This window comes from Homo sapiens, chromosome 4 (genome assembly GCF_000001405.40).
Source record: "Homo sapiens chromosome 4, GRCh38.p14 Primary Assembly".
Taxonomy (NCBI): Eukaryota; Metazoa; Chordata; class Mammalia; order Primates; family Hominidae; genus Homo; species Homo sapiens.
The window spans coordinates 131,122,005-131,138,069 of NC_000004.12; the positions used below are offsets into that span (position 1 = coordinate 131,122,005).

At 36.0% G+C, this 16,065-nt stretch overlaps 1 long non-coding RNA gene across 1 annotated transcript in view; it reads right to left on the reverse strand.

Annotated features, from left to right (window-relative positions):
- The window catches only part of LOC105377422 (uncharacterized), a 31,548-nt gene extending 17,301 nt beyond the window's left edge, over positions 1 to 14,247 (reverse strand). Inside the window, exon 1 of the long non-coding RNA XR_939196.1 lies at positions 14,168 to 14,247. This is a non-coding gene — a long non-coding RNA (uncharacterized LOC105377422). The remainder of the gene's footprint in view (positions 1 to 14,167) is intronic.
- Positions 14,248 to 16,065: the final 1,818 nt, after the last annotated feature.

A 16,065-nucleotide genomic window follows, 5' to 3' on the forward strand; every position in this document is an offset into this window, starting at 1 on the left:
ATATAGTTCTTTCACTTCCTTAGTTAAATTTGTCCCTATGTATTTCTTATCCTATTGTAAATGAGATTATGTTCTTGATTTCTTTTTCAGGTAGATTATACTGTATAAATATGCTACTGCTTTTTGTAAGTTGATTTTGTATCCTGAAACTTTGCTGAATTAATTCAGACAGCTTTTTCATGGAGTCTTTAATGTTTTCTATATACAAGATCACAGCATCTGCAAAGGGAGATAATTTAATTTCTTTCTTTCCAATTTGTATACCTTTTGTTTCTTTATCTTAACTAATTTCTCATTTAGAACTTCATATTATTCTAAGTAAAATAAGCCAGGTGAAGAGAAAAATACTATATGATCTCAGTTATCTGTGGAATCTGGAAATGTGAAGCTCATAGAAATAGAGAATAGAATGATGGTTCCCAGGGTTAGGGTGGATGAGAATGAGGAGATGTGGTGACAATAGTTAATGATGACATACTGTATAATTAAAAATTGCTACTAGAGTAGATTTTAAATGTTCTCAACACAAAAAAATGAGTATATGAGAAGATGAATATGCTAATTAACTTGATTTAATCATTTCACAATGTATGCATATATCAAAACATCTGTATATCTGTTATGTGACATTTATATATATGTATATATATCAAACATTTGTGGTAACCTATAAAAATATATAATTTAGAAAAAACATTACAGTTATGAGATGTGGAAATAATCATGACCAGGAGGAATGTACTAAATCTTTATAAAATTATGGCACATTATCAGCGCAAAATAGCCTCTGTGTACCAGTTTGTACATTGGTAACCACACATTGTATCCAGTATTCTGACTTCTAACATCATAGCTTCAGGTTTTACCTACTCTTGAACTTCATGTAAATAAAATGTACGTCCTGTGTTGGGCATTTCTGTTTTCAATATTAACTCTGTGAAATGCATCTATATTAAATGATTTATAGTTTGTTTTGAATTGTGTATGTGTAGTATCCTACTGTAGGAATATTTCACTTTAAAAAAATCATGCTATAGTTGATGTGGAATTGGATTACTTTCAGTTCGATGCTATTGTGGATAATGGTGCTGTGAAATATCTCCTCCCACTTTTGCTGTTTATTCACAGTTCTTGTTTTTCTGGGAATATATCTAATAAGAAGAAGAATTACTGGTTTTTAGTATACTCTAAACACTATTTATGTTCAGTTGTTTATGTTCAGTTTAATAAACACACTCAAACAGATTTCTACAAGGGCTGTATTACTTTATACTCTCATCTGGAAAGTATGGGAATTCCATTTGGTCCACATTCTTACCACCATCACTTGGGCGTTATCCTTATAATTTTAGGTACTGTGGTATTTCGCCATTTTAAAATTTGCATTTATATGAATAATAATGGTGTTTAACCATCTTTGCATGTATGACATGCCTATTTGCATATGTTTCTGCCATGTTTTAGTCCAATTTGGGATGTAAAATTTAAATGTTTTTCTTTATATTGTTAATTTGTGGGAATGCTTTTTATAAATAAGCAAACAAACAAAACCCTGTATTTTAAAGAAAAACCCTTTTCCTGTTCTGTAGATTATACCTTTTCATTCTCTTGACATTATCTTTTGATGAACACATGTCCTTTATTTTAATGAAACTCAATTTATAAATATTCTATTCTAAAGTTGGCGCTTTTTTGACATGTTTAAATTAATTTTATCATAACATAAATTCTTCAAGATAAGCTTTTATGTTTTCTTCCATAAAAATGTTTATTGCTTTTCTCATTAATTTTATACTTAATCACCATCTGGGGGACTTAAATTTTGTTTATTGTATGACTGTTAAAATTTATTGACACAACTGACCCATTTATAGGACAGATTATACTTGCACCCACTGCATTTCAATAGCATTTTATAATAAATTACAAAGACCATATAGAGAAAGAGTCTTTTCCTTTTTCTACCTTCTTGAGATAAAAATATAATTTCTTAAATGTCAATCTTTCTTCCCTCATAATACAGGCACTTAAGACTATAAAAATCACTATTAACACTGCCTTGGTTGCATCTTACATGTTTCAAAACTTGGTTGCTTCTTATATATTTCAAAACATTGTTATTTTTATTATTTTTATATTATTTAATATTATTTTATTTATTATTATTAAGGTCAAAACAGTCACTAATTTTTATTTTAATTTCTTCTTTGGCCTATGATTTATTAACAAATACTATGCTTAATTTTGAACTTTTTAAAATTTTCCACTTATAAATATTATTTATTTTCAATTTAATTCAGGAAACTTCCTCTGTATTATTTTAAGTCTTGAAAATTTAGTAAGAATTGCTATGTGCCTTAACATGTACTTATGAGAAAAGTATATGTTTTAAATATTATGTTCAATGCAAACCGATAAGGTGAAGTTATTAATAGTTTTGTTCAAATCTTCCTATCCTTATTTATTTTTTACTACTGCTCTATTAAATACAGAGAAGGATATATTAAAATTGCTAACTATAATTGAGGGTTGGTTTTTCCTTTATCAATGTTAGCTTTATGCATTTCAAATTTGATACTAGATACATTTAAAATGATTTTTATTCCTAACGAATTACCCTAATTCATTAAGAAATAATCCTCTTTTTGCAGGGCATGTCCTCTGATTTGAACTCTCCTTTTTTGTGGTTTCATAGTGTATTAGTACATTTTCACATTGCTCATAAAGACATAACCAGGACTAGGAAATTTACAAAAGAAAGGTTTAATTTCCATGTGTCTGAGGAAGCCTCACAATCATGGAGAAAGGCAAAAAGGAGCAAGTCACATCTTACATGGATGGCAGCAGGCAAAGAGAGAGCTTTGTCAGTCAAACTACCATTTTTTTCAAGCCATCACATCTCGGGAGACTTATTCACTATCACAAAAATAGCATAGGAAAGACCTGCTCCCATGATTCAGTCATCTCTCACCAGATCCCTCCCACAACATGTGGGAATTATGGAAGTTACAAGATGAAATTTGGGTGGGGACACAGAGCCAAACCATATCATTGTGCCCCTGGTCCCTCCCAAATCTCATGTCCTCACATTTTAAAACCAATCATGCCTTCCCAATAGTCCCCAAAGTCTAAACTCACTTCAGGATTAACTCAAAAGTCCACAGTCCAAAGTCTCATCTGAGACAAGGAAGGTCCCTCCTGCCTATGATTCTGTACAATTAAAAGCAAATTAATTACTTCCTAGATTCAATGGGAATACAGGCACTGGGTAAATACAGCCATTCCATACGGGAGACATTGGCCAAAACAAAGAGGCTACAGGCCCCATGCAAGTTCAAAATCCAAGAGGGCAGTCAAATCTTAAAACTCCAAAATGCAGCTCGGAGGCTCACGCCTGAAATCCCAGCAATTTGGGAGGCTGAGGGGATATGATCACCTGATGTCAGGAGTTTGAGACCAGCCTGGCCAACCTGGTGAAACCCCATTTCTACTAAAAATACAAAAATTAGCCATGCCTGATGGCACATGCCTGTAATCCCAGCTACTCAGGAGGCGGAGGCAGGAGAATTGCTTGAACCTGGGAGCCGGAGTTTGCAGTGAGCGAGATTGCGTCATTGTACTCCAGCCTGGGCAACAAGAGGAAAACATCATCTTAAAAAAAACAAAACAAAAAAAAACCAAGAACTTCAAAATGATCTCCTTCAACTCCATGTCTCACATCCAGGTCATGCTGATGCAAGAGATGGATCCTCATGGTCATGGGCAGCTCTGCTCCTGCAGCTTTGCAGGGTATAGCCTTACTCCTGGTTGCTTTCATGGGCTGGCTGGGATTGAGTGTCTGTGACTTTTCCAGGTACACAGTGTATGCTATTTGTGGATCTACCATTCTGTGGTCTGGAGGACAGTGGCTCTCTTCTCACAGCTCCACAAGGTGGTGCCCCAGTAGGGACTCTGTGTGGGGGTTCTGACCCTACATTTCACTTCTGCACTGCCCTAGCTGAGGTTCTCCATGAGGGTCCTGCCCCTGCAACAAACTTCATCCTGGACATCCAGGCATTTCCATACATCCTCTGAAACCTAAGCAGAGGTTCCCAAACCTCAGTTTTTGATTTCTGTGCACCCGCATGCTCAACACCATGTGGAAGCTGCTAAGGCTTGGGCCTTCCACTCTGAAGCAATAGCTCAAGCTGTACCTTGGTCCCTTTTAGTCACAGCTGAGTGGCTGGGACACAGGGCACCATGCTCCTAGACTGCAAACAGCAGAGGGACCCTGGGCCCAGCACATGAAACCCATTTTTTCCTCCTAGGACTCTGGGCCTGTGGTGGCAGGGGTTGCCTGTAAGGTCTCTGACATGCCCTAGAGACATTTTCCCATTGTCTTAATGATTAACATTCAGCTCCTCATTACTTATGCAAATTTCTGCAGCCAGTTTAAATTTCTCCTCAGAAAATGGGACTTTCTTTTCTATCACATTGTCAGGTTACAAATTTTTTGAAGTTTTGTGTTCTGTTTCTTTTATAAAACTGAAGCCTTTAATAGCACCCAAGTCACTTCTTGAATGCTTTGCTGCTTAGAAATATTTTTTGCCAGATACCTTAAATCATCTCTCTCAAGTTCAAAGTTCCACAAATCTTTGGGGCAGAGGTGAAATGCCACCAGTTTCTTTGCTAAAACATAACAAGAGTCACCTTTACTCCAGTTCCCAACAAGTTCCTCATCTCCATCTGAGACCACCTCAGCCTGGACCTTATTGACTATATCATTATAAGCATTTTGGGCAAAGCCATTCAACAAGTCTCTAGGAAATTCTAAACTTTCCCACATTTTCCTGTCTTCTGAGCTCTCCAAACTGTTCCAACCTCTGTTACCCAGTTCCAATGTCGTGTCCACATTTTGGAGTACCTTTTCAGCAATGCCCCACTCGACTCATATCAATTATGCTCCTGATAGTGCATTTTCATGCTCCTGATAAAGACATGCCTGAAACTGGGCAATTTACAAAAGAAAGAAGTTTAATTGGACTTACAGTTCTACCTGGCTTGGGAAACCCCACAATCATGGAGGAAAGCAAGGAGGAGCAAGTCACCTCTTATATGGATGGTAGAAGGCAAAGAGAGAGAGCTTGAATGGGCAAAATCCCATTTTTTAAAGCCATCAGACCTCATGAGACTTATTCACTATCACAAGAACAGCATGGAAAACACCCATTCCCATGATTCAGTCAACTCCCACTGGGTCCCTCCCACAACACTTGGGAATTATGGGAGCTACAAGATGAGATTTGGGTGGGGACACAGAGCCAAACCATATTGCATAGTATATATTTTCTTATTTTACTTAAAATTTTAGTGTGTTCTTCTACTTTAAATGTTTCTCTTTTAACAGTGCATAATGTGTTTTAATTTTTAAGGCACTTTTATTAGTTTCCTATGGCTACTATAACATAGTACCACATATTTAATGGCTTAACACAACACAGATAATTTTTTATTGTCATAGAAAACAGAAGTTCAAAGTAAGTCTTCCAGGCTAAAATAAAGGTGCGAGCTAGGCTGATAATTTCTCTAGAAGGTTCAGGATAGAATATGTTGTTTGCCTTTTCCAGCTTCAGAGGCTTTCCTCATTCCACAACCTACCATACCACATCTCATTGTTTTAGCTCCCCTATTTTCCTCACCATATGGCCTTTTCCTCTTCTGTTATCAAATCTGGAAGTGCTGCCTAGAGCCACGGGGGTGAGGGCTCCGTGACAGAGCTCTGGTTGTTTGATCCAAGCCTGGTCCAAGCAGCAGGACCTCTGCCGTACGCAGGTCTGAAAGGCAGGACCTTCAACCCCATCAGGTCCAGAGTACAGAACGTAGAGCCAGGGTCTTGAGCCTCAATCTAATAGAATTTGATTTGAGTCAACTCAAATTCCAATTTGATTTGAGTCAACTCAAATTCCAATTTGATTTCGGTTTTCAACTTGTTCAGGAATGTGTCACTCATTTCTTCTTTTCTGTTTATCTTTTTTAAAATATAAATGTCTCTCATGCCTGTGTTACCATTGTATTTTGGAAGCATACAACTTGTTTGATTTCACAGGCTCAAGCTGGAGAGCAATTTGCCTCAGGATGAATCATGCCTTGAGTTCACTCATACTTGATTTAGACAATATTTACGTGAGACTTTGGATTTAGCTTTTGAATTGATAACATGTGAGAAAGACATAAATTTTGGGGAGCTGGTGGAGGGATGGAATGTCATAGATGGAATGCTTGTGCTCTCCCAAAATTTCTATGTTGGAACCCTATGTGATAGTATTCAGAAAGTGGGATTTGGGGAGGTAATTAGGATTAGATGAGGCTGTGAGGATAGAGCCTTCAAGAATGGGATTAGTGCCCTTTTAAAAGAAACCCTGGAGAGCTCCCTTCCTCCTTCGGCCATGTGAGGACACAGCAAAAAGATAGTTGCTATGACCTTCACCAGACACTGAATCTGCTGACACCTTGATCTTGGACTTCTCAGCCTCCACAACTATGAAAAATACATTTCTTTTGTTTTTAAGTCACCTAGTCTATAGTTGTATTAGTCTGTTTTCACACTGCCAGAAAGAACTACTGGAATTGGGTAATTTATGAAGAAAAGAGGTTTAATTGACACAGTTCTGCAGGCTTAACAGGAAGTGTGACTGGGAGGCCTCAGGAAATTTATAATCACGGTGTAAAATGAAGGGGAAACAAACACATCTTACTATGGCAGAGAAGATGGTGGGGGGAAGTGCTACACATTTACAAACAACTGGATCTCATGAGAACTCACTCACTATCATGAGAAGAGCAAGGGGAAAGTCTCCCCCCATGATTCAATTCCCCACTACCAGGCCCCTTCCCTGAGATGTGGGGATTACAATTTGAGATGAGATTTGGATGGGGACCCAGAGCCAAGCCATATCAGTAGTATTCTGTTATAACGGCCTGGAAAGACTACAAAAATGTGTATAATTATGAAAATAGCAGCATATGTAGGTGGAACACAAAATATATACAGATTATAGTCAGTCTTTGATAAGTATATGCTTTAAAAAAATCCCTTGATTAAACCTGTTTCTCACAGTATCAAGATATACATATTGAAAATGCAGAATTTCTGTATGTAGAAATAACTCCTCAATGGGGCCTCTAATCCAATCCAGCTCTCAGTTCTTTTACCCTGAGTGAATCTGTTTCTCTATTCAGATTGTATTAAAAATCCTGTAAACCCAAAGTATCGCTATTTTATAATTTGTTTTTTTTTGACTATTTGTCTTCTTTACACTCTCCTCATGTACTCTCTACCTGTCCTTCCAAGCCTAACTTGTTACCTCTTTCACTCTACAGTAACCTTTTCTGTTTCTGAACGCCTACCATTAATCGTCTGCAGTTCTCAGCTTTGACTGACTGTGAGAATTATCAATATACAAAGATTCTGTATAGAATCATTTTTATCTATTTTATTATTTATTTAAATGTTTTTTGAGACAGAGTTTCACTCTGTCACCCAGGCTGGAGTGGCAGTGGTGCAATAATAGCTCACTGTAGCGTGGAACTCCTAGGCTCAAACAATATTCTTACCTCAGCCTCCTAAATAGCTGGGACTACAGGCATATGCCACCATGCTCAACTAATTTTTAAAATTTTTTGTAGAGATGGGATCTAGCTATGTTGCCCAGGTTGGTCTCAAACTCCTAGCTTCAAGCAATCCTCCCATCTAGGCCTTTCAAAGTGCTGGGATTTCAGGCCTCAGCCAGCAGCCTTTATTTTACATCAAGCAGTACCATGATAGGAACTCCAAGTACATAGATCTAGGTGGTGTTTGAGGGGGTCAATTAATAGGTTACAGATTGGCCATACTCCTACTAATTCTTGTGTTCTTCATTCCCATCTTCAGATCTAGGTTTTCATTTAGTATTATTTTCCTTTATCCTAAATAACTTTTTATTGCATTCTTAAAAATAATGTGGGGTTTCTCAATAATTAGCATGACAGCAAATTAAATCTTGTAGTTTTATTTACTCCAAGAGCCTTTCCATCTCGGATGATCTGGAACTCCAGCTTTTGTCTTCCTGGCTAATCCAAATGCTGAGACATCTAATAAAATTCTTAGGATTGTAGTTATTTCTTTGTGATATCAGCCTTGAAACTTTGCCCTGTACAATACATCCAGCTTAGAATTCAGGAAAAAATAATCAAGAGTAAAATTACATGCAGATTTTGAGGGTCACTCCTCTGTTCCCTTTTCTAGGATTTTGCTGCTTAAGCACCAGCCACATTGGCAGCACAAACATCATTCCATACCTTTCCAACACAATGAATCTTCATATTGCACCTTTCACTCCATTTTTCTGAGCTGCAAATTGACAAAATTCATCAGGCACAGGGCTAGGTAATGCAATTTGCATTTATTTGCTTCTCTTTTTTCAGAGCTGATAGTCTGTCTTTTACTCAAATTATTCTACTGATTAAAGACAAATGACAAACAGCACCCACAACATTCAGTGGTTGGCAGAAAATTATTATTTGTATCTTCAGGTAATGTTTACTAAACTTAGAATCTACCAACATATACATTATCCACAATTTCCTATAGATCTTATGAATGTCCACATTTGTATATGCTGTACCAATGCATATTTAAAATACTTTAGAAATTTAAAATAAGCTTTCATGGAATACAAACCATTTTCATTACAGGTTGGCTGTACAGTCTATAACTCTATTTTTAGTCCCCTTTGTACCAAAAAAATTAAAATCATTCAAAGATTGTTAGACAATTAAGATTCGAATTGAGTTCTAAGGAATACATTTTAGCCTGTAGGTAGATAGACACAGCATTAAAAATGCAGGCATCTTCGTAATGTAGCATGTGAGTAGCAATAGATCAGATTTTGCATTAGAACTACAAAATGAGCATATTTGTGTCTCTGGGAAATATAAAGAATATTCATCAAACTCTGATTTTAAAACTGGCTTTTTGTTCACTTTTTTCTTTAAAGAAGAACTTATTTATTAATAGCTTTTTATTTTAATAGGAAAGACACTATTATACCAATACCAAACATTTAACATTGAAATGCTGTAACTTGTGTGCTTTAGAGAAAACATGAAGAGAATTTCTAAGAGCTAAATAGCACTTTCCCATGTGCTTCATGCATCAAAGGGTACCCTGGAAAATACATTTTGCATGTGCAGGCATGCTCCAGAGAAGATTTGAAGAGATACGTGATAATGCATGCTGCTTATTTCCAAGCTGAATCTCAATGCTTTACTAAAAATTGAAAATAAAAAGGAAATGTAATATTTTTCCACATCTCCAGTAAAAGAAGTATGTTTACAGATTTAAATGCAACTTTAAAATCATTGTTTATATTAACACATGTTAATCATGAAATATAAATTTCTTTAAAAGGACGTAGTAGTTCATAATAGCAATGTGAATGCACAAATAACTAGAAAAACCACCTCTCTCGGCTGAAAAATAAAAGCATTTCAGCTAAAAGAAAAAAGCATTTTAGCAACTGAATAATATTGCCTGTGACCAAAGACTTACAATTCCTTTCTGTATTTGAGGTGTGTGAAACTGCTCAATTTTCCCCCAGCAGTTCATAGGAAATGCTTTCAATCTCAGACTTTCACAGCTCCTTGAATTTTGCAACCCTACCAGCACTTAAACAGGTTGCTGTCAAACTTTCCAAATATTGGTAAAGCTGTGAGCCTTGTAGCAAAATTTTAAGCTCTTGTGCCATTTAAAGTGGTACGTACATGTACCTAGTGATATAAATCTGTCATATATAGCTCAAAATTATCAGAATTATATGTTTAAATTAAATTTTGGTATTGGAAGAATGAATGTTATTATAAAACAGGCAAAATGCTTGGGTATTAGGATAGTTAGCAGGTTAAAATATTAATTCTACATTCAGAGTTAGCTACACTGAATACTAAAGCTGGAAAGGATCCTTACATATATATTTTGTGTCTAACACTTAAATTTGTACCTCCATCATTGAGAAAATTAATTTAAATTAATGAGATTTATCTCTATTGATTTGTAACAAGGAATGGTGATTTTCTGAATTTTAAAAACTATAAATCTGTAGATTTTTAAACATTATCAAAAAAAGCTTCATTTTTACTTAGTGTACAGTTAGTTTGCTATAAATAACTTCAGATGATTTAGTATTCATTTAGTATAAAATTAATTTAGTAATTTTAAAACTTAGCCCAATTTTATAGCTAAGAGAATGGAATATGCTATGCTTTTGGTTTTGAAGGTAAAGGGTAAGTCCATGAGCCAGGGAATGCAGACAGTCTACAGAAGCTAGAAAAGGCAAGAAAATAGATCTGTTCCTCGACACTTTAGAAGGGACACATATCTACCAACAAATTGATTTTAGTCCATTAGAATGAATCTGCACTTTTGACTTCTAGACTATAACATAATTAACTTATGTTATTTTATGTTGTTCTAAGCCACTACTATGATTTGAATGTGTCCCCCAAAATTTATGTGTTGGAAACCTAATCCCCAATATAACAGTGTTAGGAGGTGGGGCCTAATAACAGGTGATTAGGTCATGAGGGATCTCAATGTCATTATCATAAAGTAGGTTAGCTATTGTGAGAGTGGCTTTGCTGTAAAGTGAGTTTGGCTCCCTCTTACTCTCTCCCTCTCACAGGTCTTGTATGTGTGCTCTCTTGCTCTTCCACCTTCTGTCATGGTATGACACCAAAAGAAGACCTTCACAAGACAAAGCCCCTTGATCTAGGACTTCCCAGCTTCCAGGACCATAAGCCAAATAAATTCCAGGACCAGTCTCAGATATTTGGGTATAGCAACACAAAATAGCTTAAAACAGACACTAGTCATAATTTGTTATAACAGCATTAGGAAAGTAAAGGAAGTACATTGTCTATTTTTTAATAGAGAAAATATGCTTCACAGAATTAGTTGGATAAAGTAATTGTAAAAACTAAATAAAAAAATATAAAAAATCAACAACAATTCCAGGGAGATGAGAATTCAAAGTTGTTACATTATATAAAATATATAATTTTCTGGCCAGGTGCAGTGGCTCATGCCTGTAATCCCAGCACTTTGGGAAACTAAGGTGGGAGAATTTCTTGAGGCCAGGAGTTCAAGATGAGCCTAGGCAACATAGTGAGATTCTGTCTCTTCAAAAAAAATTAACTGCACATGGGGGCATAACCCTGTAGTCCAAGCTACTTGAAAGGCTGAGGTGGGAGGATTACTTAAGCTCAGGAGTTCAAGGCTGCAGTGAGCCATGAACATGGCACTGCACTCCACCCTGAGTGACAAAGTAAGACCCTGTCTCAAAACATAAATAAATAAATAAAATTTACATATATATATATATATATAATTTTCAGGAAAAAAAAACAAACAAAACGAACCATGAGAGATGTAGAGAAACACAAAGTGTGACCTATATCCGGGAATAAGCAAGCAGGCAATAGAAACTAGTTTCGAAGATGTCCGAATAGGCCAGACATGGTGACTCATGTCTGTATTCCAGCACTTTGGGAGACTGAGGCAGGCAGATCACTTGAGGCCAGGAGTTTGAGAGCAGCCTAGCCAACATGGCAAAAACTCATCTCTATTAAAAATACATAAATTAGCCAGGTGTGGTAGCACATGCATGTAATCCTGGCTACTCTGGAGGCTGAGGCATGAGAATCACTTGAACCTGAGGGGCAGTTTGCTGTGAGCTGAGATCACACCATTGCACCGCAGCCCTGGTGACAGTGTGAGACTCTATCTCACACACACAAAAAAGATGTCCAAATATAGACTAAGCAGAGAAATATTTCAAAGTAGTCATTGTAAATATGCTCAAAAAACACTGTCTTAAAAAATTAAAAATACAAAAAGTATGATAGTTACACAACTAGAAAATATTAATACATAAATATTCTTTAAAAATTCATTTTCTGTAGTTACTAAGTACCACTGACATGAAAAATTCACTACAGGTGCTTAACTAAAGATAAGACCTGGCAGAAGAAAGGCTCAATACTCAAGACAGCAATAGAGATGATTAAAAAAAAAAAAAAACAGAAGCACACATTTTAAAAAAATAACAGAACCTTAAATAAATAAGAGACAGCTTTAAGCAAACTTGAATATGCATAATGGGAATACCAAATAGACAGAAGAGAGAGAAAAGTGAAGCAAATTATTAACAAGTGTAATGGATGAAATTTCTCCAATTTGATGGAAAATGGCATTATGCACAAACAAGAAGTCCAGCCAACCACAAGCATGTTATCAATGCAAAGGGAGTGATACCTAGATAGATCATATTCAAACTGTTGAAAGCCGAAAATAAAATAAAGTCTTTAAAGCAGCATGAAATAAAATACTTACTGTATACAAAGGAATCCTAGTAAGATCAACAACTAACTTTTTATTCAGAAACAATCATGCTCAGAAGTCAATAGATCAATGTAGCCAAAGTACTAGGAGAAAAAAATGTCAATCTACAACCCTATAGCCAGAAAAATTATCTTTCAGATTTAGTGAAAATGAAATGAAAATACCAAATATGAACAAATTAGGATAATTTGTAGCTAGCACTTTAGCTTTCGGATAAATATTGAAAGTTATTTCTAATATTGAAGTAAATAATGTCAGAGAACAATTGGAATCTATTTGAAAAAGTAGGCAGCACCAGTAAGGAGTACTATGTAGGTAGATATAAAATACGGTATAGTCATATTTTTCTTCTTTTTTTTCTATGAACTAAGTTACAACAATAAAAAATTGCATAAGACTGTAGCCATACAATTGTATTGTATGGTTTATAACATACGAAGTTATGATATATAATAACAATACAGAGAAAGAGGAGAGAAAATAAAGCTAATTTGGAGCAAGGACATGACATCAGATAGTAACTTGAACCCAGAGGAAAGTTTTAAGAGAGCCAAAAATGACATATTTTCTCCTTTATCTTCTATGATTTTTTAAGAAATATTTTCTTAAATTCACTAGAGTTTTATTTTTTCATTTATTTTACCTAGAAAATTATATTAGAAGTAGCATCTGCCAATTAATAAAGACTAAAATTGTGGTGAGGATATATAATATAGTTATACTTGTACAGAAATAGTAAGTGATAAAATTATGTCATAATTTTGAAAGTAATGATTATCAGTTTTAAATGTGAAATAATCAAATGTATTATTTTCAGGATTAGAAGGCTAAATTTTAGAGGTCAAGTATATTAATAAGATTCAATGTATAATCAGTATATGTAAACAGCTCCAATTTTAAAAATATAATTTTAAATATTTTAATACATTTATATTAATTGATGTTACACATATACTATTGTGGTCACAGCTTTTATTAGAATTTTAAAATAAATTATCCATGAACATGAACTCTGCTATTGATATCCATAGATTGTTTAGTATAAAAGAGTCGTAATTTTATTATACATTAATTTTGAAATGATGAATGTTTATAATTTCTAGTTTACTTTGAGTGTAGTTTCACTTGACTTAAGATTCTATGTTCAGCATTAATATATGTTTGATTTATAGCAGTTTGCATGCAATCTTCTGATCTTTACAGAAATAGTAATAAATATATACAAATAAATGATATTAATTGACCTCATTCCATAATGAGCTAGGATATATCACTAGTAATAAAAGGCTTATTCATGTGAAGAAATGTCATTCTTTTAGGCACCAATGTGCCATTTGTTGAATTTCTCAACTCATTGTCATTCTGGGTACTGTATATCTAAGAAGTTCAGGCCTTAATACGACACACATACAAATGCACACACACACACACACACACACACACACATCACATATACACAAGAATATATACAGTGATGTCAGCAAGATATCATACATACAAATGCACACACATAAATGCACACACACACACACAAGTCACATATACACAAGAATGTATAGAGTGATGTCAGCAAGATCATGGAATAGGAAGTTCTGAACTCCCAACCTCTACACAGAAAGTTTAACTAGCAACTATCCACAGACTAGAATGTCCTGTTGAAAACCCTGACACTTGGAAACATGCCCGAGACACTCATATGGTCTAGAAAACTGAATAAAATCCAAATTAGGGAGCTAAAAAAAATGGTCTCACTCTGACTGCATCTTCGCTTCCCCTCCTCCAAGTTGCCACAACACCAGACAAAGAGGATTTCCCTGGGTTCACAGTTTCTGCAGAGAGAAAAGAGAACCAGAAACAGTCAGCCATTGTTTCCAGCATTCCAGGATGTTTGTAGGAAGCTCACTTTAGTCTCACTTCACAAAATAAATTGAGAGAAACTGCATGGCTAGGCCACTCAGAGTCAAGAAGAAATAAAGAAAGGAGACAGAGTTAATAGTGACAAGCACACATAGATCTTGGTGGTATCTCTGTGTTTCTGTGGTGCCCTATCATAGATACCAGCCAATCTTTTAAGCCACTTGCAAAGCTAAGCTAGATGCTTTCAGAAGCACAGTGGAAGTTCAAACTAGCTTGAGTTGGTAAACTTCTAGACTCCCCAGCCAGCCTTAAAACCCACCACAATGATCCTCACAAATAGGAAAACACCCATCTCCTCTCATGTCAGAGAAGCAAATGGGCTAGATTGGCTTGACCTAGGAAGTCAAGCAGTGACTTTGCTCAGCCATCAAAGTCCATCAGACAACTATGCCCAGGAAAGAAGACTTCCACCTCCTTACATCTTAGAGAAGCATAAGGAATAGATTGGCTTGATAACCCAGGAATCAAGCAGAGGCTCCACTCAGCCAAAAATCCTGCCCAACAACTTTGCCCAGGCAGGGAGACTTCTATCTCTGTGCATTTTGAATAAAAATAGGGACTAGTCCTGCTTGGTCCCAGAAGTCAAGCAGCACCTCCACTCAGCCAAAGAGCTCACCCAATGGGCCCACCCAGGCAGGAAATCTCCCACCTCTGTGGATGTTAGAGAAGCATAGGGCCTAGATGGATTTGACTCAGAAAGTCAAGGAGCAGCTCCACTCAGCCAAAAAGTGCACTCAACAACTCTACTGAAGCAGGGAAATGTCTACCTCCACAAATTTTGGAAAAGCACAGGGGCTATACATACTAGACTCGGTAAGTCAGTGATTCAAACCAGCCAAAGGCCCACCACACTACTCCACCCTAACAGGGAGACCATTTTAATCATGCATTTCTAAGGAGCGTAGCGTCTGCTCCTGTCTCTCTTAAGCAGTGACTCCACCTAACTTCAGGTCTCAGTCTGCAGTCCTGCCCAGCTGCAGATTCTAAAGCATGAAATTGCTTGGCCAGGGAATACATCTTGTGACTTGCCTGACCAGAAGCAATTACAGTACCCAGCAGTTCTGCCTGATAGCACAGCCAAGTCAATGGCCTCACCAGTCAGCAGAGCTCAGCCACAAGCTCACCAACATGAGAGCAAAGGCAGCAACCCAGCCAACTAGAGAAATCTGAACATGCTCTGCCTGTCCAAAGTTGTTACTAGTTGATCCTTCCTAAATAATAGACTAAACTAAGTAGTAAAGGTCTATCTCTGAAAAGGGACACTTAAAAGGGAAAGTAGAGGAAGTCCTCTTCTCAGATTTGTAGATGACAGTGCAAGGACACAAGAGTTAAAATAAATTCTAACATCAAAATGCTAAAGTATAATAGGGGCAGTAAAAGAGTAGAGTTGTTTCATGCAATGTTAAGTTGTTGTCTGTTTGAAATAGTCCTATAAGTATCAGATCTTCTATGTAAGCCTCATGGTAAACACAAAGGAAAAATATTCAGCAGAAGCATTAAACAAAAATAGAAATGATTCAAAGCAAACTAAAGACAACCATCAAATGACAAAGAAATGCAACAAGGGAGGAAGCAAGAAAGAACACATTTATAAAACAACCAGTAAACAACAAACAAAATGGCAACAGTGAGTCTTTACTTATTAATAATTACTTTGAATGTAAATGAATTAAATTATCCAATAAAAACACAGAGTGACTGAATGGATAAAAAAGTGCAGCACACCAACATGG